The 22,449-nt window shown below is 36.9% G+C and overlaps 1 protein-coding gene and 1 pseudogene across 9 annotated transcripts; both read right to left on the bottom strand.

The window, feature by feature from the left end:
* On the bottom strand, nucleotides 2,388–12,215 carry FGB (fibrinogen beta chain). 9 transcript variants are annotated; one of them, NM_001382764.1, is made up of 9 exons: nucleotides 12,063–12,184; nucleotides 9,196–9,387; nucleotides 8,523–8,706; nucleotides 7,375–7,602; nucleotides 6,701–6,814; nucleotides 5,888–6,013; nucleotides 5,560–5,681; nucleotides 5,396–5,422; nucleotides 2,388–4,776 (listed from the first exon to the last, which is right to left on the bottom strand). In NM_001382764.1, the coding sequence occupies exons 1-8, from the start codon at nucleotides 12,174–12,176 to the stop codon at nucleotides 5,414–5,416; spliced, it is 1,089 nt and encodes a 362-aa protein (NP_001369693.1). In that variant the 5' UTR covers nucleotides 12,177–12,184; the 3' UTR covers nucleotides 2,388–4,776; nucleotides 5,396–5,413. The 9 variants fall into 9 exon arrangements, with proteins under 9 accessions (NP_001369693.1, NP_005132.2, NP_001369690.1 ...); NM_005141.5 differs by having other exon boundaries at nucleotides 5,396–5,681; NM_001382761.1 differs by having other exon boundaries at nucleotides 2,388–4,686; nucleotides 5,396–5,681.
* On the bottom strand, nucleotides 19,205–19,958 carry LOC100422640 (5-aminoimidazole-4-carboxamide ribonucleotide formyltransferase/IMP cyclohydrolase pseudogene; annotated as a pseudogene).

The following is a 22,449-nucleotide window of genomic DNA, read 5'->3' as shown; positions in this document are numbered from 1 at the left end:
GGAAGTATAGTGGAAATAGTGATTCTAGCATTTGGAGAGATGTTAAACCCAAGTCTGGTCTTAAACATAGGCAGTGGTCACCATGAAGTTATTCAAGGTAACTTTAAGGATGACTATTTGCTCAAAATATTGCCTCATGGTCACCATTTGAGTGAAAAGGATAGTAGGTAAGAAATATCAAGGGAGTCTCAGGTAAATACAAATGTAGCCTCTATCAGTAACTCTGAAATCCAACCAGTGATCAGTCACTCTCAGGGACATTTATTTTAAAATGGAGACTCAGGCTCTTTGCCCTTAGAGTCTCTGATGTAATAAACCTAGGTTAGTACCAAGAAATCTGCATTTTTTTTTTTGACTTGGAGTCTCAGTCTTATGCCCAGGCTGGAGTGCAGTGGCGTGATCTCAGCTCACTGTAACCTCTGCCTCCCGGGTTCAAGTGATTCTCCTGCCTCAGCCTCCCGAGTAGCTGGGATTACAGGTGCACACCACCACACCCAGCTAATTTTTGTATTTTTAGTAGAGACACTGTTTCGATTTCACCATGTTGTCCAGGATGGTCTCAATTTCCTGACCTCATGATTCACCCCCCTCGGCCTCCCAAAGTGCTGGGATTACAAGCGTCAGTAAGTTTAAATGATCAGCATACAGGATATTATGTGTGTAATGCTTAAACAGAAATGTGAGCTGAGCTACTGCAGCTGGTGATGTGTCATGTCACCCATATTTTTGCCCCATGGTGGGAATCTGTAGTCAGTTTAAAAACAATCCCTGAGTTAGCTGTTTCTCTTGGTTCATAAATAAAGAGGAACTAGAAGCTTATGTCCCAAGTGCATACATCCATTATAGTTTGTTGCAGACTTTCAGTCCTAATTGTATAATTATATATACATATATATAATTATATATGTGTATATATATATATGTATATATATATATAAATAAAATAGTTCTCATACCACAGTGTGGGATTAAAAACTTTCAACTAATCTTTCTATTATCATCTTAAAATCATGAGTTATACAATCTTGTTGTTACTGTTTTATATATTCTAAATAGGGGAAGCTACCTTTTTTATTATATTCAAAATTGTGCATGGGCAAAATCAGACACATAACATTTCTTACCAAATGACACCTTAAGAAAGTGCATTTCTTTTTTCGTTACTGTATTTTCGTTTGTTTTTACAAGTTTTATAGTAGAGCCAGGGTCTCACTATGTTGCCAAGCTGGCCTCTAACTCCTGGTCTGAAGCAATCTTCCCACCTCATCCCAGCAAAGTGCTGGGTTTGCAGATGGGAGCCACTGTGCCCAGCCAAGAAAGTGCATTTCTTTCTAGATAGACTTACATATTACCTGGGAGTGGTCTCTGTGTTTTTTCTATTTGTACATTAACTAAGAATTGACCATCAGATTATCTACTTTAGTGGTTTTTCTTCTATGGCATTACTTCAAGCTCTAGGGATTCATTTGATCCTCTGTGAACACGTAAGGAGTGAGCAAAGGTCTGATGACTGCAGTCTTCCCAACCCGCATTTTTCATTCAGTGAACTTTTGCGACTCTCAGTATTGCCCCAAAAGTTCCATATTCAAGAACTTTGCATGTTGAGTTTCTGTTTGTGGCTTTATTGGAAAATGGGTTCTACATTTAAAAAGAGGATGTTCGAGACTTTGAAAATCACTGGATTTAGCCATCCAGCATTCACAAATGCATGAAAATTAGCCATTCTGACAGGCTGATGTTTCTGGAATCAAAGCTGGATAAGCCTCAGGCATTCATTGTCAAAAAGTAATAAAATTTGCCCAAAGGTTTTAGAAAGTCTTCTCTGGGCGGTGACAGTTAAAGTGAGGTTTAAAAACAAATAGCAGTTTGTCAGATGGTGTTGGGAGGAAGACATTGCTGCAATGAGGGCATCATATAAAAGGACCTGAACATTGTGAATAATGTTGCAATGACCACAGATGCACAAATATTGCTTCCAGATCCTGATATCAGTTCTTTTGGATATATGCCTAAAAGTGAGATTGCTGGATCATATGATAATCAGAATTTTTTAAAAAATTTTTTAGGGGCCTCCACATTTCTTCCCATGGTAGCTGCACCGTTTTACATCCCCACAACAGTGCGAAAGGATACTGTGTGATTTCACTTATATGAGGTATCTGAAACAGTCAAAGTGGAAAATAGAATGGTAGTTGCCAGGGGATGGGAGGTAGGGGGAAATGGAGATAAAATTTCATTTTTAGTAGATGAATATGTTCTAGAGATCTACTGTACAACATAATGCCTAAAATTAATAATACAGTATTGTGCACTTAAAAATTTGTTGATAATATTTCATATTAAATGTTCTTACCATGAAAAACTAAAATAAATGAACACAAGGAAACTTTTGGAGGTGATGGATATATTTAATATCTTGACTGTGCCAGTGATATCATGGGTGTATGCATATTTCCAAAATCATGAAATCGTATATGTTAAACACTTTGTATGACAGATGCATCCGACAGCATTAACTCAAGCATACCCTGAGAATGACTGTATGGTCTAAGAAGAATATGTGTTCAGAGTCTAAGCTAAGGAATCCGGGAATGGCCAACCCAGAGAGATTCACTTCTTATCTGTGAAGGACACTTGAACTCCCTGCCTGTCCGTTGGAACTCAGGATGTGCAAGGAACCAAGGCCTTTTATTTTGGGTTAAATGGAGGTTGCTAAGTGGAGAGTGCTAAGTAGAAATGTTATATAAACTACATACTCTTTACAAATAGTAGCGGTCCTGTCCAGCCCACTGCCACTGGACCACATCTGTATTTAAGTCCTAAATAAACCCTATGTCCCATTCACTGGCTCTGGGTCTCTTCTTGGACAAGGCGCCATCCCTGTTGGAATCAATAGGGCTCCAGCATGACACATGTGCAGGATTTTTTAAATTATATCAATTATATCTCAATAAAGCTGTTGAAATTTTTAAAGGGCCTGACCTGTCCTGGAATGGGGAAAAACTTAATGTGACAAAAATGTAGGTTATAGTGAAGGGAACAGGAAATGGTACTGGGACCATTTTTACTCCAGCTAAAAAATTTGAATTTAAGAAATTTGGATATAGATAGGAAGGAGCTAATGTTAAGCAGGAAGTAAGTTGATAAGAGTTTTCTGTTAAATGTGATGGCAAAGCGGTAGGTGAGTATGGGCTCCAGTGGGACAGAACTTGTGGCAGAGAAACCAGGTCAAAAGTTAAAGTTGGATTTGGTGAGTAATTAAAGAGAGTAGTAGCATTTCCAAGACAGAAATTAATGAGCTTTGCTTACATGAAAAGATTAAGAGGATAAGCTTAAGAACAATAAGTACCATAAAAATGGGTGGCAATGATGATACATTAGGGGTGGAGGACCTAGGGTCATAAGGTTGCCCGTGGCGACTTGGAGTGAAGTGTTGAGATGATATGCCCATTTCATGGGGAGAAGTAGAAAGAACAGAAAAACCACTTTTACTTTAGTTCTGGTGTAACTATGAAGAAAAAAAAGCCTAATTGAGGACAAGAATAGACCTCGTTTCTATGGGCAACAGGCATATTCTGCTCCCTATTTCATTATTTCGCTTAAAAAACACTTGGTGAAGACTTGATGCAGATTGTCCTCTTGGAATCTCTGATCCTGATGTTTATTTAAGTGGCAGAGTGGTGGCTTTTCCATGGTATATAGTCAGATTCTTTTTTTTTTTTTTTTGAGGTGGAGTCTCACGCTGTTGCCCAGGCTGGAGTGCAGTGTTGAGATCTTGGCTCAATGCAATCTCCACCTCACAGGTAGCTGGGACTACAGGCACCTGCCACCACGCCTGGCTAATTTTTGTATTTTTAGTAGAGATGGGGTTTCACCATATTGGTCAGGCTGGTCTTGAACTCCTGACCTTGTGACCGCCCGCCTCAGCCTCCCAAAGTGTTGGGATTATAGTCGTGAGCCACCGTGCCCGTCCTAGAGTCAGATTTTAAATCTTCAAATATTCAAGACCGGTTTATTAGCTATTTGAGGTTGTGAACGCTTCTCCTTCCTTACAAGTGCAAAGCCTAACTCATTGAATGTGTGGATTACAAAACAAGAAAACATTAACTTATTGCAACAGAGTCTGGTTTAATTAATAAATCTTTTTGGAAGTTTTCTTTGACAGATCCTACATAAATAAATATAGTTTTAAAAGTGGACTTTTAAACATCAGTTTTTCCTTTCCGTCATGGTTTTCCTACGACAAGGATAAAAGACCCCTCTTCCTTATTTGAAAATTCTCGCAATCAACTAGAACTGAAATTATGAACACCAACTCTGTCAAAACTATACTTTTGTTACTTCTTGGTGAGCAAGAGAAATGAAGAAAACAAAAGAAAATCATGTGCTATTTTAATGTAATTTATCCTATACTTTTTTCAAAAAGTCACACTCACGTCTGCTTGAGAGTTTTAGAGGAATATAATGTATGAAAGAAAATTCCAATAACATAATGTACAAAAATGTTGTCACATACAGAAGAGCAAAAATCTACGTATTGGGGACTATTGCTGTGGGAAGAAGGGCCTGATCTTCATACTCATCTTCCTCATTGAGTACCATGACCCCTTCCAATTCATCCATACTACACCATCATCTGTGCCATGCTTTGCCATGTCCCAGGTGTACTGTCCACCCCAGTAGTATCTGCCGTTTGGATTGGCTGCATGACATCTATTATACCACCATCCACCACCGTCTTCTTTAGAACACTGTTTTCTGGGATCTGATGTTAACCTGAAAGAAAATGTGTTTGGCGTTATTAGAAACAGAACTACGGTGGTCAAGTTACGTTTTGCAGATTACCCATAAAAGACTGCTACACTCGTGTGCACAGTAGTCTTTCCTTTGGGTGCTATACATAGAGTCACACTAATACACCAAAGACCTCCTGTGCCCTATAGCAAGAAAGAGAGATAACTGGGCCTTTGTGGCCAATCCATCTAGGGACTGTGTTTGTTACTTTATACTGGAATAATAGCTTTTACAACCCTTAGTATCAGAGAACCCTGGAAATGAAAATGAAAGTTTTCACACACACTTTAGAATATAGAGATATAGGTATTTATCTAAATGCTCATTATTCAGAAAGTAACTGTGCTCAAATTCTAGTTTTATCTCTGGGTAGTTGTGTGACATTGGACAAATCACGTAATCTCTCTAAATCTCATCTGTAAAATGAGAATAAGAATGTCTACCTTATAGTTGAAATGCTTTCGAGTGATGCATAAAGAGCTTAGGACAGTGGCTGACAGTAAGTGCCCAGGAAGTGGTAGCTATTAAAAATATTGTTAATGATTCTGAGTAATGATATTAGTGTGATTTTTAAAGCAGGAGCAAAGAGTGCCACACATACCAGCCGTCATTGTCTCTGTCATACGTGCTGAAGAACATGCCGTTGTGAATGGTCATGGTCCTGTTTTCTCCCATCAGCTGAGATGCTCCATCCATGAGGGCATTACCGGCTGTTCCTCTGTATTTGTTCACTGAGATCTGGTATTTGTTGGCTTCATTCTGTACAGTGAATCCTCCATAGTGAGCCTTTACTTTGTCTCCTTTCCAGTCCTCCATTTCTATCAAAAGTTCTGTGGGTCCCATCCTGGTAAGCTGGCTAATTTTATCATTTCCAAGCCAATATTCACCTAAAAGAAAAACAAAATAAAATCTCACCAAAAATAAAATTTTGGGAAACTAAAAACTGCCTTTCTTCCCTTATCTTTAGCTTCCACATTTTTGTCAGGAAACTCCTCTTAACTGCCTAAAACAGGCTTCCAACAATGAATGTTTTTTAATTAAAAAAAATCCCATTTCAAATAGAATGATTTTATTTTGCATGCCTGTTCGTTACCTGGTAGGCCACAGTAATTCTTCCCATCTGTGTTGGTTGCAACATTTCCAAATCCCTGTTTATATGGATCCCATTTCCTGCCAAAGTCAACACTACCGTCTTGACGGTTCTGAATCACTGTCCATCCTTTGGTTGACAGAAACAAAAAGAGCATATATTAACCAACAGCAAATAATGTCACTTTGAAAATAATATCTGAATCCCCTGTCCATTCCATTTAGTATATATTTGGTGCTCTAAAATAGACACAATAAGGAAATAAATATGAGAGGTAAACTTGTAAAATCTTTGGAAACTGCAAGTGCTTTATCTTACCCCAAATTGTGAATTATAGATATTTTATAACTTTTTAAATATCAGGTTGAATTCCACATCAAATTACTCTTTGTCAGCTATGTTAGATGTTAGAGCTAAGTCTTGTTTCCTGGCTTTTTAATTAATTTTTTTTTTTGAGACAGGATCTCACTATCCTCTGTTGCCCAGGCTACAGTTCAGTAGCATGATCAAGACTCCAGGTTGTGGGCTCAGGTGATCTCCCATCTCAGCCTCCTGGATAGCTGGGACTACAGGCACATACTACCAACACAGCTGATTTTTTTTTTTTTTTGGTATTTTTTTTTTTTTTGTAGAGTTAGGGTCTCATTATGTTGCCCAGGCTAGTTTCAAACTCCTAGGCTCAAGCTATCAGCCCACTTTGGCCTCCCAAGGTGCTGGAATTACAGGTATGAGCCACCACACCTGGCCTTGTTTCCTGGCATTTTACGGTATCCAAATAATTACAGATCAACAGGTCAACAACTGTCGAAAGCTTACCTCCATTTTCTGTATTCATGTCACAGTATACTCTATACGGTTTGACAGAACTGTCAGGTTGAATGAGATACATTTCAGATGTTTCACCTCCTTTCCTGATAATTTCCTCACATTCTGCAAATGTAAGACAACATTATGTTCAGGGGTTTATGACATAATTACTTTGTATTTAGTCACCAATTCTTTAAAATAACATTACATAAGTTACTAAGGAGTGTGTTATTATAGACCTTTGAAAATAATATAACAAATATTAGATTTTCATTTTACTTTAGTAAGTCCAACCCAGTTTTGAGGACGTTTATCTGCTAAGAGGATGAACAAAGCTCTTCTCCACCTTTTGTGTCCTGGAATATCCATGAGCTCCCAGAACACACAAAATGGAGAAACTTCTACATCTATCTGTGGTTCTGCCATCTGTTCAAGCCAGTACGCAGATGCACACATCAGCCACCCCTGGGACTACCTGTGCCCCATCCTGCTCATCAAAACCAGCAAATGCACCAGGCCAGTCCAAAACACAACTGGCTAAGGATATTTTTATGATGTACTGTAATGTCATTATGATCTGTTGGGAAAATCCACTTAGCATTTTTGTTGTTGTTGTTGTTCTCTTATTTTTGGTGTGTGAGTTCTTCTGGAACTCTCTAAAAATATGTTTATGAATCAGTTACCTTTGCCAGACACCACAGGAATATTGCAACTGACAGTGCATGGGGTGCGACAATATTCCATTTGAGCTGAGACATCAGATTCTAACTTTTGTATTTTGCTTCTCAGGTTTTCCAGGATTGAACGAAGCACACGAAGGTTAGTTGGGATATTGCTATTCACAGTCTCATCTATATATAATTGGTGCTTTTCCAGTTCTGAGGAGTACTCATTGACTACATTTTCATTATCTGGAAAAATGAAATTATGTAGAAATAGTTAGCATTTTTGCCTCATAAAACTAATGTATTTAACTATACAATTTTGATTTTCTGAGAATAAACTATTAAACACTGAGCTATCACCAAGCAGTTATGATATATAGTCATATTTAGTGGAAATGATTTGGCGCATGACATATACAAATTAACATAAATCCTAACCACCATACTAGTAATTTACCATAGGTATACGCTAAAGATTGTGTCCAGTAATAAATGAAATAGGTTGTTTATTTCTTTGGTGAGGGAAAAGAGGAGAAAGCAGTATTGGGGTCTTCCATCTGAGAAGTTCAATCTTACAGAGTGGATATGCTTGATTTATTTATCCATTTCACATAAGTATAGCAGAACCTTGAAATTTATAAGATGTCATGATTCCTTTGATTTCTTTGAAAAATTTCCAACTGTGGGTATGCTACTCACTGAGATGCCTGTGCCAGGCTCACGCACTAGCTGTTTCCTGACCACCAAGTCAACAGCACTCAACATTCTGACCTCAAGATTCACAGGTTAGGTGTCATTATCCACAACACAATTGAATATATTATGGATAACTCTCTCATTCAAAACCTCAAATGTTAAAACTATAAATGCTAGGGGTTTTTTTCCACTCTGTAAATATTATCTTCTGAGTCACAAGTTTCTTGTATACTTAAAATAAGGAGTCATAGTAGAATTTTTCATAGAAAATCACACTTGCTGATGTCAGACTGGGAATAAGAGCTGAATAGTGCTTATCTGGCAAGTTGCAGGGGAAGGTGCCCAAAAGCGTATGAATGCTATTCACTAACCCAGAAATGTTAATCTTCTCACAACCATGCATTCTCGTGGCAGTCTAACGGTTCCAATTTTATAGCTGAAAATCGAATGGAAAGCACAAGGATATCTACCTTTTACTTGCTTCTGCCTCTTTTGCCACAGGTCTTTCAGCAAATACATGTACTGAAAGGAAGAAGAGGAGGTCTGGGAAACAGCTTCCACATTGTTATTTAACTCATCAACACTATTTCTGATTGGCCTTTCCTGTTGTAGCAAAGCCTCTTGCAACTGACATCCTGTAGGACACAACACCCCCTAAAAACAAAGAAAATAGCAGGCATTAGATGAAGGATTTGGGTCATGGACATTTGTTAAAATAGCACATAGGAAAATTCAGCGATACGATTAGCCAACATAAAAATTTATTATTTGGTTTTCTGTAAGACCAGAAATTCGAAAGTCATCATCATACTCTCATAGAGATTTAAAATATTACTTACCCCAGAAAAAATATAATTGGGCTATGAAAATTTTACCAACTAAACAAAGGCAGTGGCAAAATACAAATGGAAAGGTGGCACCCACATATCCTAATTTGAAATTTTGGGCCCAGACCAAAGAAAACAAGAAAGAAAGCCTAAACCAAAGGCCCAATATGTTTATGTTTTGAATTTTATTTCCAAAATAAACAAACAAAATAACAGTGATGGTAATGTGGGTCAGTGAAACATTAGCAGACTGCCATGACTACAGGCTTTCTCTGCATGAGAGAGCCACCACTGCAAGAAACATCAGTGCACCCACCAGGTCTGGGTCAGCGTGAAGACAGCCTCCAGCATCAGGGGCTTTTCTTTCTACTTTCTTTTGAGTGGCAGCTGCTTTGGCTGGACGAGCCCGATAGCCACCTCCACTGATGGGCGGTGGGGCAGGCCTCAGGCTGGGAGCCTCTTCTCTCTTCTTGTCAAGGGGTCGATGACCACGGGCACTGAAGAAACCCTACAAGGAATGAGGCAGAAATATAATACAGAGTGTTATAGAAGATTTGGAATGTAACTATTCCAACACCCTCATTTTATAATTTAGGTTATCACAAGCTTGATAATTTGCTTAAGATCCATCAACTGGCTGGTTGGTGATAGTGAATCTGTAGGTTGCTTACTGTTCAGTAACAGTAGAAAGACCAACTGCACAAAAAAGCTATGATGCAGTGTAGTTTTTAAAGAGAGGCCTTAGGATAAAGCTGTATCAGATTATGAATAGTAATGACCTCATATTCCTAAAACATACATTGGAACTTACGAAATTGTAAAGAATCTATACTGTCAAGAAGAATGAATATTCTCAAGCCACTTGGATTGTTAGATTCCTATGATTATTGTTAATCATTTCCCTACTTTCATTTTTGTGAATTGGTGATTAGACTCCTATATAAACATATTTAAGAGACATTAAAGACTTATTAAAGGTTGATTCTACTTGGAATTTATTTGTAATAAGACAATCTTTGACCCTCATAATGTACTCTGGAGCTCGGCTACTTGTAGGTCTTGACCGTAGGGTTGACTTACAGCTATGAGACCTTGGGCAAGTTGCTTTATCTGTGCCCCAGTTTTCTCATCTGTAAAATAAGTGTAATGATAGTTTGAATCTGCCTTACAAGATTATTGTAAGGATTAAATAACTTATTGCATATGGTACCCTCAGAACAGTACTTGGCAATAATAAGTGCTCATTACTATTTTTACTGGAATCACACATAACAAGTACTACAGTTTAAGTGTCCTCTCCACTTCGAATTTCACTTTTAGTCTTATCTTCTATCAACAAAATTATTTGTTAAACCATTATCTTGAAATTTCTTACATGATTTCTTTATCAAACATTATGATTTTCTTATATTTAAAATAATTCTCAAGGCTTGTGCATTGTAATTAAAATTACTTGCTAACTTAAAATATTATATTAAAGGATAATGAAGCAGAAAATACGCATTGCAATAGGAAAGTTTTGATTTGGATTAACTACATTCTCATTTTTTTTTTTGTCAGTAGCTATACATCCTTTGGAGCTTAATTACAAATTAACAAACGACATGATTTGGAACAACTGAGCAACAACTGAGCTCTCTTGCAATTTTGTGAGTCTAGAAGTCATCAGATGAACTCTATTTGGAATTGCATTGTCATTTATTCATTAGATTATAATATTATTTAACATTTAGTAGGATGGTGCTAAGATTAAAACCCAGCCAGGCTGGTTCCAGATTTTCCTGTTTAACCAGTTGACTATATACATTCTTAATATGTAAAGATTCGGAGGATATATACATATTTCACATTGAAGTCATGGTCCTAGTCAGAGCTTACCCTCTCTAAAACAAATTTTAAGAAATGTGATTCATCTGCTTATTACAAATACAATTATAACAGAGAAAACTATTTTCTTTTTATTTCAGAGTGCCACTAGAGAGGTAGCATGGATGGTCTGGCTTTACTAGAGAAAAGGAAATTTTAAAAAATATTTAAAGAAAGTATATACTTAAAGAAAAACACTTAAAGAAATTATGAAGGCCACTTGTTGAATAATCAAAATCCATTTTAAAGCCTAAACTATTAAACTATCTCTGTGAGGTTTAGTTGATAAGCAGAAATGTGAAAGTGCTTTGCAGAGTACTTTACAAAAATTTCGTCTTACACATTCTTTACATTTTTCTTACCTAATATGATTAACCAGACTTAACCAGATTAACCATATGTTTTTACACACACAACCAGATTAACTATATGTTCTTACATGTAGAGTCTGATAAGTACAACACTCAAGTTCCCTTGAAACTCAATAATGATCCGAAATGAATCACTTCATTTAAATATTATTGTGTATTCTTATTTCTAGTTTAATGATACTATGCTATATGTAAGAAATTTGGCCATGATACGTTTGATGATAAAATTTAAATTTCTTAAATATCCATTGTCCTAAATGCATTTCTGTATTTTTAGTAACTGCAAATTAACAGCAATAAGTCAGCAAAAATAATAGTTGAGGACAAACTGTTCTACAAATAAATAAATTAGACTGAACCGTGTTTCATAACTATTAATAATAACAATACACACTAACTCTAATTTGAACTTTTCATCTGAAAAAAGCAATATTTCATTTTCTATCATTACACTTGATGTATTTTGCTTTTAGGCTTAGTTATAATTTTTATAAATAGTAATCTCAGTAACAATATATATTACCTTCCTTCACCAAAGAACAATCTACCTACCACCAGTTTCTTTTATCTTAAAATTCTGCTCTTTTATTATTTTATAGTTTGTGAGATTTTCAGATCTTGTCCTCTTAATTGTAATCCTGTATTGCTAGAAGTAAATGAAAATCACAGTACTCAGAATAGCAAGTGAGAAAAACACATCTTACATTAGCTAAGCCATCCTCATCTTAAGAAAACAAAGGTGATAAACTAGAAAACAAGAAATTACTTTGTTTTTATATAAGAAATACTATGAAACATTCTTTAAATACAATAAGTCAGAGGTTAACAATTCCATTTCATAACTATAAGCAATGCTAATTTCATTAAAATAAGCACATAATATGATTATGTTACATCTTATATTAATAATACTACTAATAATATAATAATGCTTTAAAAAATTCACCTCCTCATTGTCGTTGACACCTTGGGACTTAACTAGAAAAACACACAATAGTAGCAATAATAGATGTTTCATGGTTTTAAGTTTGTGGAAGCTCCAAGAAACCATCCTTTTCATGTAGACTTAACTGAGAGATCTTCAATCCTATATATATCTGAGTCCTCTGCTAGGAATGACTTCAGAAATGGTTACCTTTCCTTAGTTAATATTTAATTTTTGGTTCACTTGTTGGCTGAACCATTTTATCATTTAAGCAACATCTTCCCAGCAAAGCTTATTTACTTGTCATACAACTATTATTCTTTGTTGGTCTAGTTTAGAAACATTAAATTTCTTCAATTCATTTAATTGGACAAAATGATGGGAAGTTAGGGCACTCCTCAAAGAGAGATGTGTATCTTGTTTCTGGTAAATTAATGTGGAAACTACACAAGCTCCGAAAGAATATGTGAGAAAACAAATCTAAGCTTAGTAAATTTGACCTACTCACAAGGCAACCACTAAAATCGTGACTCATTAATGATATACCATAAATGCTTATGTTTTCTGACAATGACATAATTCTATTTCAAAAGGGGCCATTAAAATCAATAGTAATGTTATATCATAATGTGTTTATCTTTTGTTTTAGACATTAATCAAAATAACAAAATAACAAATTCATACCCTATTCTATGAAAAATACACATCAGAAAGACCCTTTTTTTGTGCTGAATAGCTTTAATATTTTGTCCTTAATTCACATAAGGTAAAATGTTCAACAAATTCTAAACATTATTAAGATAACTAATAAATTATAGATTTCTGAATCAAAATTATGATGATGATTAAATACATGTTTAACATTCTATTTTATTGTTATATAGTTTATATCATATGATTTATAAAAACAATGTTATTTTAACACTGGTGAAGTCTTCATACATCTATTTCAATTAGTATGCTCACAGACTAAATGAGGCCCATTTTCCTTCATTTCCCACAAGCCACAAAATTTATCTCTCTTGTCTGTTCACTTGTGTGTTGCAATCAGGATTAATAACTCCTACAAGAATCAATAGGAACACCAGTCAGTAATCCAAATCCCAGTAAGTGCATTGATTCAAAGCATTTTTCTGTTTTTTGTATGGAAAGTGAAACATTCTCATTAAATTTATAAATTATTTTATTAAAAAGATGGCAGGTTATCAGGGTTTGGATCAGCGTATTGAAACAATGCTTTGAAACAGAGTCTTGAGAATGGTGTGGGACCCACGACATTTCTTTCTTCTCCAGGTAGCAGAGATTGCATTCCCAAATTCTTTTAACTCAGATTCCTAGAAACAAATTATTCTCTTGGTAGCATAGGTTGTCCTCCCAAATTCTTTTAACTTAGCTTAATAGAGACAAAGTACTCAGTTTAAATTAAGAAAAAATATTCACTTGAGTCTTTCCAAATTTGTGTTCCCTTTATTAGCAATGAGTAAATATTATATTTTAAGATTTTTTTCTTTAGCTTTAATGGTTTTTAAAGGGATACATGATCTGACAGAAAAAGCAAATATCTATGTGGCTATTAATTAAAATATATACAGGAATATTTTCCATGAAAATATAACTGATAACAAAGTTTATTTTAATAATCTAGACAGGATTTTATTTTAGTGACGTACAGATTCTTACAGATTTAAAAAGAATTATCTGTTAAGAAAACTCTAACCTTTTTTTTTTCTTTTGAGGTAACGTATTACTACATTTTCAATGACTGATGTTTGATCAACTAACAATAGAATCATCATTTAACTTTCAGAAGTCTGTAAATTTGTAAAGTTTTTTCTAGTATATAATAGACTCTTGTTCAACACTAAAGTGAAGGTTCCTTTACTTTCCTACTTTGTTCTACTCTGATTGGCATTCTTCCCATGGTCAGAAGGAGGATGGATTCAATCCAGCATGCATGCACCATAACAGCACAGACTTAACATTCATCTTACAAATAGTTCTTGAGAGTCTCCTCAGTGACGGGTAGTGTGATAGGGGCTGGGAATGCATTGGTGAGCAAGACAGACATAGTAGGCGTTCAATACATAATTACGGGATGAATGAGTGAACTGGCTGTCATTGGTACATGCCTCAGATGCCAAATTATGGTAGTCATTTATCGTATTTAATTCTTGAAACCACTATGTTCTACAGATGGTGAAACAGGTTCAGAGAGGTTAAGTAAACTACCCCAGAGTGTATAGGTAGTAGGTGCTGGTATGAGGACTTGACCCCTGACTGTCTGACTCTACAGTCCACACTCTGTGCCCATTACATTATATTTCCCAACAGGATACAAACATTATAAAAATTTACCTCTACCTTCTTTTTGTGTGTTTGTTCTTTTGGAGTATTTTGGCCAGCCTGTCATCTTGGGACCATAATGTATCAGGCTGACACACTCACTCATAGCTTTTACTTTCACTTATCTTTTTACCCTCATATGTGGGTATAGTATTCATGTCTGTGTGAAGCATGTGCAATGCAGTGATAATGAGTTTTTGTAATTCTAGTTCTTGTTAGATATGTCTTTTTTCTGTAGAGTTATGTACAGTTACACTGGGACTCTAAATTGCCTAATATTACAAAGAATATTATCATGTTTTCAGGGAAGAAATATATTTGCAGAGACACCGCTTATTAAGATGCTTAAATTTTTTTAGAATGTTGATGCCATTGGTGGAGGGGAAAGGGAGTACTATTTGTTCAGTTATTTTGAGGTCATCAGTGCAGTGTTCTTCATATTAGCTGATGTCATTGCATAAGTCAAGGGTAGTAAATCAGTGACAGAGAAAACAGAGATAATCTGTCCTGCCCAGCAGCTCTCTGGCTTGAAGGGCAAAGACTTGCCGATACCCATTGTCAATACACTTGTTGATACTTTTACAACTCATGTCAGGCCCAGTCTCCATAGCACAAGGCAATTTGTGCTTAACAACTATTTACAGAGCATCTACTTCATAGCAGGTAGTTTGCTGGGGGCCGGGGAGACCTTGGCGAAGCCTTAAGTCTAAAAGGAAAGACAGAAAATGAAAACTACTTACAATAATTAGTGTTGAGCCTAAGATTGGGGGAGGTGAGGCTTTGGGACTGGTAACTTAAGGATCTAACTTTCTTCAGGGGGAAACGAACTTCAAAGGAAAAGGGCTTTTAGACTTGAAACTTGGTTTGAATGACTGTACAGTTTATGTCATGCACCTGGCACATAGCCAGTATTTAATAAATATCGGTTGAGCAAATTCATGAATATATAAATGAACGAATGACTAAAAGGAATACTGATTCTCGTTGTCTAAATATGCATAGGTTTTGAGGTACTGTAATAAGTTGTTAGTCTCTGTATATATTTTCCTTGTGTTACCTTGATTAACACTGACGAGTTGGAGGCCAGGCTGGACCAGAGCTCTTGGGGCAAGCCTGAGAGCAGTGCAGTGGTGACACCTGCAATTTGTTGGTCATCTTTAGTGGGAAAGCATATGGTGGGGAAGAAATAGGAGATGACGCCATCTCTTGTGGAATGTCTCCCTCTACTGGCTTAGATGTCAGTTTCCATTTCTTATGGGAGCTGACATAGAGCATGGTAATAAGGGATAATAGGACATTTTCTCCTACAACAGGATGGAGATCACAAGAGCTAAGAAAAGATAGAGATGCTCTTCTGCTTTTGTCACATTGAGACCCACAACCATTAAGGGTGTAATGAACACCTCTGGGAGTGCTGCTCCCTTCTCCTGGAATGACCCCTAAAATGGAGGTATGAAGCTCCAGTGGTCCTGTCAGTACTACAACACCCTGACCCTCTAACCACAGGTGACCAAGCTAGGGGTAGACAGACCCTTTACGCAAGCTAAATCTACCAGATTGTCTCTCCAAATTTGATATTTGCTGGAAGAAGAAGGAGGAGGAGGAGGAGAAGAAGAAGGGGAAGGGGAAGGGGAAGGGGAAGGGAACTGGGTCAATTGGACTGATGTTATATCCATGGCAGCATTTTAGAGGGAAAGCCTACCAACTGCATCAACAGAAGTAACCAAAACGTCCAAACATAATAATTTGATTCTTCACAGCCCAGTCTGTGAGACACCTGATGTCCTTTCTATAGTACTCATTTTACCTTTCATTAACTTTGACTGAGATGATTTTTGGCATTTGTTGAGAAAATTAAGATCAAATTTTTAGGAATCAGACTGGCTGTCTTATTTTTAAGCATAAATTGCAGGTTAGAAAGAGAAGCTTTATATTCAAATAATGTAATCAATCACTAAAAGTTTTCATATATTAAGCATATGGGCTGGGCGCAGTGGCTCACAGCTGTAATTCCAGCACTTTGGGAGGCCAAGGATCACTTGAGCCCAGGAGTTCGAGACCACCTTGGGCAACGTGGTGAAACCCTATCTATACAAAAAATGAAAAAATTATCTGGGCATGGTGGCACACACCTGTAGTCTCAGCCACTCCAGCTACTTGGGAGGCTGAGAGGTGGGAGGATTGCTTGGGCCTGGGAGGTTGAGGCTGCAATGAGCTGAGATTGCACCACTATACACCAGCCTTGGTGACAAAGCAAGACCCTGTCTGTCTCTCTCTGTCTCTCTCCATCTCTCTCTCTCTCTCTCTCTCTATATATATATATATATATATGTATATATGTATGTATATATGTATTTTTTTGTAGAGATAGGGTTTCACCATGTTGCCCAGGCTGGTCTGGAACTCCTGGCATCAAGTGATCCACCAGCCTTGGCCTCCCAAAGTGCTGGAATTACAGCTGTGAGCCACCATGCCCCGCCCATATACATAATATATGAAAACCTTTAGTGATGGATTACATTATTTGAATATAAAGCTTCTCTTTCCAACATGGAATTTATGCTTAAAAATAAGACAGCCAGTCTGATAGTATTAGCAGTGAAACTCTAGGGAAAATGAGGACTTTTATTTTGGTGCATGTCAGTAACATGCATTTCAAAAATTTCAAAAATCTTTCACAATTTAATAACTAATAAGTATTACTTGAATTAGATTAACAATATTTTCTGTAAAATGTGCACAGGATTAGACAAAGGTTTAATAAAATTTTTATGAAGAGTTACAGTTTGATGAGAAAGCATGAGCCCTATAGATAAAAATGGGCAAAAGATATATATACATGTATGTATATCCATATATATATTTTAAAAAACACAAACATGTACTTGAAAAAATATGGAACCTAGATATAAATCAAAGAAAGCCAGAAAGGCTGGTTTCTAGAAACACGGATACAATGTTAGGGAAGGGGGAGACGTGGGCAGAAAAATCTCTATCCTCTCCACATAATAAAGAGGTAACGACAAACTAAGAAAAAGACGCAAGTTGAATGAGGATGGACAAAGTATGCTATTGGGTCCAGGATCTCCCTTCAATCCTTTGTTATTTGCTCAATGTTTCAATCTACTTTGCTGATATGGTTTGGCTGTGTCCCCACCCAAATCTCACCTTGAATTCTAGTTCCCATAATCCTCATATGTTGTGGGAGGGACCTGTTGGGAGGTAATTGAATCATGGGTGCAGTTACCCTCATACTGTTCTTGTGATAGTGAGTGAGTTCTCACAAGATTGAATGGTTTTATAAAGGGATTTCCCTGTTTCATTCCGCACTTCTCCTTCCTGCTGTCATGTGAAGAAGGGCATATTTGCTTCCCCTTCTGCCTTGATTGTAAGTTTCCTGAGGCCTTCCCAGCTCTGCAGAACTGTGAGTCAATTAAACTTCTTCCCTTTATAAATTATCTACTCTTGGTATGTATTTATCAGTAGTGTGAGAACAGACTAATATATGTGCTAACTAGTATTTTGTGTACTAGGTTTCCTTGTGGGGAGAATCGAGGCCCACTTTAGGTTTAGTTTAGGATGAAAATAGAAGCTGCCTGTGTTGACCTCTGACTTCTAGGTTACATTTATGCAGCTTTCTCCCCTTTTAGAACAACGGGGATAATTAGTATCATATAACTAATGTTTATGGATCAAGTAATTCTGTGCCGGTCACTGTTACTAGTACGTTACACTTAATTCTTACAATAACTCTATGAGGTAGAGTAGTACTATTATTCCCATTTTACAGATGGGAGAATTGAAGTACAAAAAGAAGAAAGTTACCCAAGATGATGCTGCAGGTAACTTGCAGAGAAGGAGTTGAATCATGGCATTCTGACTCTATACCCTTACCTACTATGATGGACAGTTTCTTCCTGTTATGTACAAAGCTATTTTTTCTCTTGTATTGATGTGGTGTTCCTACCTTAGCAAAATGAACACCTGTGTATGTATATCTTTGCATCCTTCTATGAAGATTATATATAATACATACATACATTCATACAGACATACACACTCTCACACAAACACACAAACACACATACATACATACCAAGGACATTTTTGGAAAGTAAATCCATTGTAACAAAAGGTATGCAAACAATTTTGGGGCCAGGAGTGGTGGCTCACACCTGTAATCCCTGCACTTTGGGAGGCCAAGGCAGGAAGGGTGCTTGAGCCTAGGAGTTCGAGAGCAGCCTAGGCAACATAGTGAGACACCTGTCTCTACAAAAAAATTAAAAAATTAGCCAGGCATCATAGTGCACACCTGTAGTTCCAGCTATTTGGGAGGCTGAGGTAGGAGGATCTGCCTGACCCCAGGAGGTCATCCACTGAAGTCTAGCCTGGGCCACAGAGAAAGACCCTGTCTCGAAAAAAATTGTCAGCTTATTGCTAAACTGCCTATGAAAGTGATTGCCACCATTTATACTCTCATCAATATTTAGGTTGTCCCTCATCCTTGTCATCACTTGTTGTTGTCAAATTTTAAAATTTTTTGCCAACCTATTAGGTGAAATATGTTATCTTATTGTTATTGTGATTAAAATTTCTTTCATCATGAGCACACTGAGAATCTTTTCAATTTACATATCAGCCACAATGTCAGTGGTCTTTCTGTGAACTGCCTGTCCATGTGCCTTGTCTTTTGAGTTGTTCATTTTTTCTGTTGATTCATGAGAGCTCTTTTCTTATTAAGAAAATTAGCCCTGTGGCTAACATACACATTGCCTATATTTCCCAATTTTTCATTTGTCTTTTAACTTTGCTTATGATATATGCAGACTTTGGCCTCATTTTCACTGAGTGGAATTTCAACAGCAGCATCTGCTGGGCTGACATGTTTGAAAAGGGCAGCAGATAGAATGCCTAATGCCTCTTTGAGTTCCTTCACCAGCTGCCAGGCATTCAAAGCATCACAAAAGTTTTTAAATCCAGGGGCTCCATTTAGAACTGTGATGGGAAGCTTAGGCTTCAGTGTGTATAGCTGCACAGGAGTCTGATGAGGGATCATTCTGTACTGCAAGGGCATCTGAGATATTCCTTTACTGTGCTATTTCCTGAGGTAATCTGAAATTGCTTCATCATATTGTGCCATATAAGTGAATGTGAATGCCTTCAAGACTAACTGGCACCTAGTCTCCAAGAAGGTGTCCTTACTCTTGGAGCTCTGCCTGTCTGTGGACACTGCCTCATAGTCCTCTGACACACCACTGTCACTGGATTGTGGTTTTTGGTGGCATCTCTCAGTAAAGTTACTCTACCAGTACCAATTTGCTCAACAGCCTCTCAACCATTACACCTGGAGAAGCCACTGTCTTCAGGAAGGGATAGAGATTACAGGCAACAATCAGGCCTGGCCATGTCAGCATTACCTTTTGGGATATTATGAGCCAGGATTCCAGCATGGATTTCAGGATGCAAAATTTTCACAGCATTTCAGGAAATCCTGTCAGCTCAGAGACCTCTCTGACTGCCAGACCAGCATCCCTGAGATGCTGGTCTCAGGGATTTTTCAGTCCCTCCAGAAGCAGCAGTAGTGAGGCCACATGCACAGAGAGGAGGGAGGTCCCTGATTCAGGTTTTCACGTCTCTTAATTTTTTTTTCCTTTAGGTCTTGCACATTTTAAAATTTATTGCTATTTTAAATAAAAATCCCTTTCCCTGCTGTATTTTTAACTGCATAAAGGAAAACTATTGATTTTTAATAACATTTTTATACTCAGTGAATTTTCATATTGTTTCGAATAGTTTTTTCAATTGGTTTTTCAGGTAGAAAGTCATACCGTTTGCAAATAAAGATAACTTTTCATCCCTATTTCCTATTTTACACAATTTAATTTTTTTGTCCAATTGAATGACTAGTGCTTTCATAAAAAATACACGTGGATAATAGTGGTGATGGTGGACATCCTTGTATTGTGACTAATAAGAATATTTTTAATATTTCTCTGTGAACATGATTCTGGCTTTTGGTAGCATATTTCTAAAAGAAAGCCTGAAGTGTCTAAATAGCATTATGTAATATAAATATAATGGGATCTATAAATATGAATTAATAATAATAGTAAAATATTCAATCAAATGCCTTACTCTTCTTAATTATTCATGTCAAAAGGTATTTCTGCTAACTAAACTGACTGTTGCAAATATTTCTACAGATAAATTGTATTTTGTAACTAAGTTGCTAAGTTTTATAGAAACTAAATAAAATTTAGAATTAACTTACTTAAATGTAATGGAAAATATTTTTCATTGTCATAAAATTTACAAAGATCAGAAATACAGAACTGAACAGTCCTTTTATAAGCAATTATCTGCATTACACACACAGAAAGACTGTGATTAAATTAATGGTTACTGAAATAGCAACTTTTCGGAGTGAGCACATCACACACACACACACACACACACACACACACACTCACAGACCATCCTTCCTACATGTTCAGTAGCTGCAACTCCAAATCAAAATTAAAGTCTCGGCTGGGCTCAGTGGTTCACACCTGTAATCCCAGCACTTTGAGAGGCTGAGACAGGTGGATCACCTAAGGTCGGGAGTGCGAGACTAGCCTGGCCAACATGGTAAAACCCCATGTCTACTAAAAATACAAGTAATTAGCCAGGCGTGGTGGTGCACACCTGTATTCCCAGCTACTCCGGAGGCTGAGGCAGGAGAATCATTTGAATCCAGGAGGCAGAGATTGCAGTGAGCTGAGATGGTGCCACTGCACTTCAACCTGGCCGGCAGAGCCAGACTCCGTCTCAAAAAAAATTAAGCTCTCAAAGCCACCTAAACCCATATTTAAGTGTACAATATAATAGCTTACTTATTCATTCATTCAATAAATATTGAAAACTTACCAGTTGCAAGTCAATTAGATTCTGACTGTGTGATAGTAAACATCATGCCATATTCACCCCATAAGTCTACTGGGAAATACAGATATTTAAACAAATATTACAACAAAACATTCAGCTAAGAAAGCTGGAACCAAGACATTGTTATTTCTTCTGTGGCAGTATAAACACCAAAAATATTTCTGTAAAATAAAAACATTTGTAAATGCCTGCAAATATTTGTAAGTACAAATTCTTATTTGTAAAGGTAAACAACAAAAGTCATGATTATGTTCAATATTGTCACTTATTTTGTGATATAGTGTTGTGGGTTGAACTGTGTCCCCCCAAATTCACATTATGAATTCCTAACCCCCAGTATCTAAGAATGTGACCTTATTTGGAAATAGGGTATTTTTGGATGGAATTAGTTAAGATGAAGCCATACTGGAGTAGGGTGGGCCTTTAATTCAATATGATTGATGTTCTTTAAGAAGGAGAAATTTGGCATAGGCATATGCACAGTGAGAACGAAATGTGAAGATGAAGGCAGACATGACAGTGATGCAGCAGAAGACAAGAAACGGCAAAGACTGCCAGAGAACTACTGGAAGTTAGGGGAGAGGCATAGAACACATTCTCTCTCACAGCCCTTAGAAGGAACCAACTTTGCCAACGCCTTTATTTCAAGCCTCTTGCCTCCAGAACTGTGAGACAATAAACATTTGTTGTCTAAGCCATCCAGTTTGTGGTACTTTGTTACATCAGCCCTAGCAAACTAATACACATGAGATGGGGCTTCATGTAGTAGAGGATGGTGAAATTGTGATAAGTAAGACCCGAGGACTCTCTCTCTCTCTCTCACACACACACATACACCTTGCTAAGATATTTATAACTGACAGTTTATAACTGATAGTACAATCTAATTATTCCCAAAGTCTTTCCAGGCATTAACAGGAAGAACAGCCCCTTCACTGTTCCTTATAGTCCCAGAAGCTTGTTTCAACTATGCTACAAGAAAGTATCTGCTAACACTACCTTAGTATTTAGGCAAATTCATAGCATTGTGCTAAACAATTAAAGACCAAAGTTTTGGAAGAAATGTCCAAGTATCATTTTTCACAGGTTTTGACCTCAGAAATTCAAATAAACAGTGATAACTCCCATGATTACTTCCTTT

This window comes from Homo sapiens, chromosome 4 (genome assembly GCF_000001405.40).
Source record: "Homo sapiens chromosome 4, GRCh38.p14 Primary Assembly".
In the NCBI taxonomy this organism is placed as follows: domain Eukaryota; kingdom Metazoa; phylum Chordata; class Mammalia; order Primates; family Hominidae; genus Homo; species Homo sapiens.
Note: the sequence above shows the minus strand (reverse complement) of the source record. Positions and strands in the feature narration are given on the sequence as shown.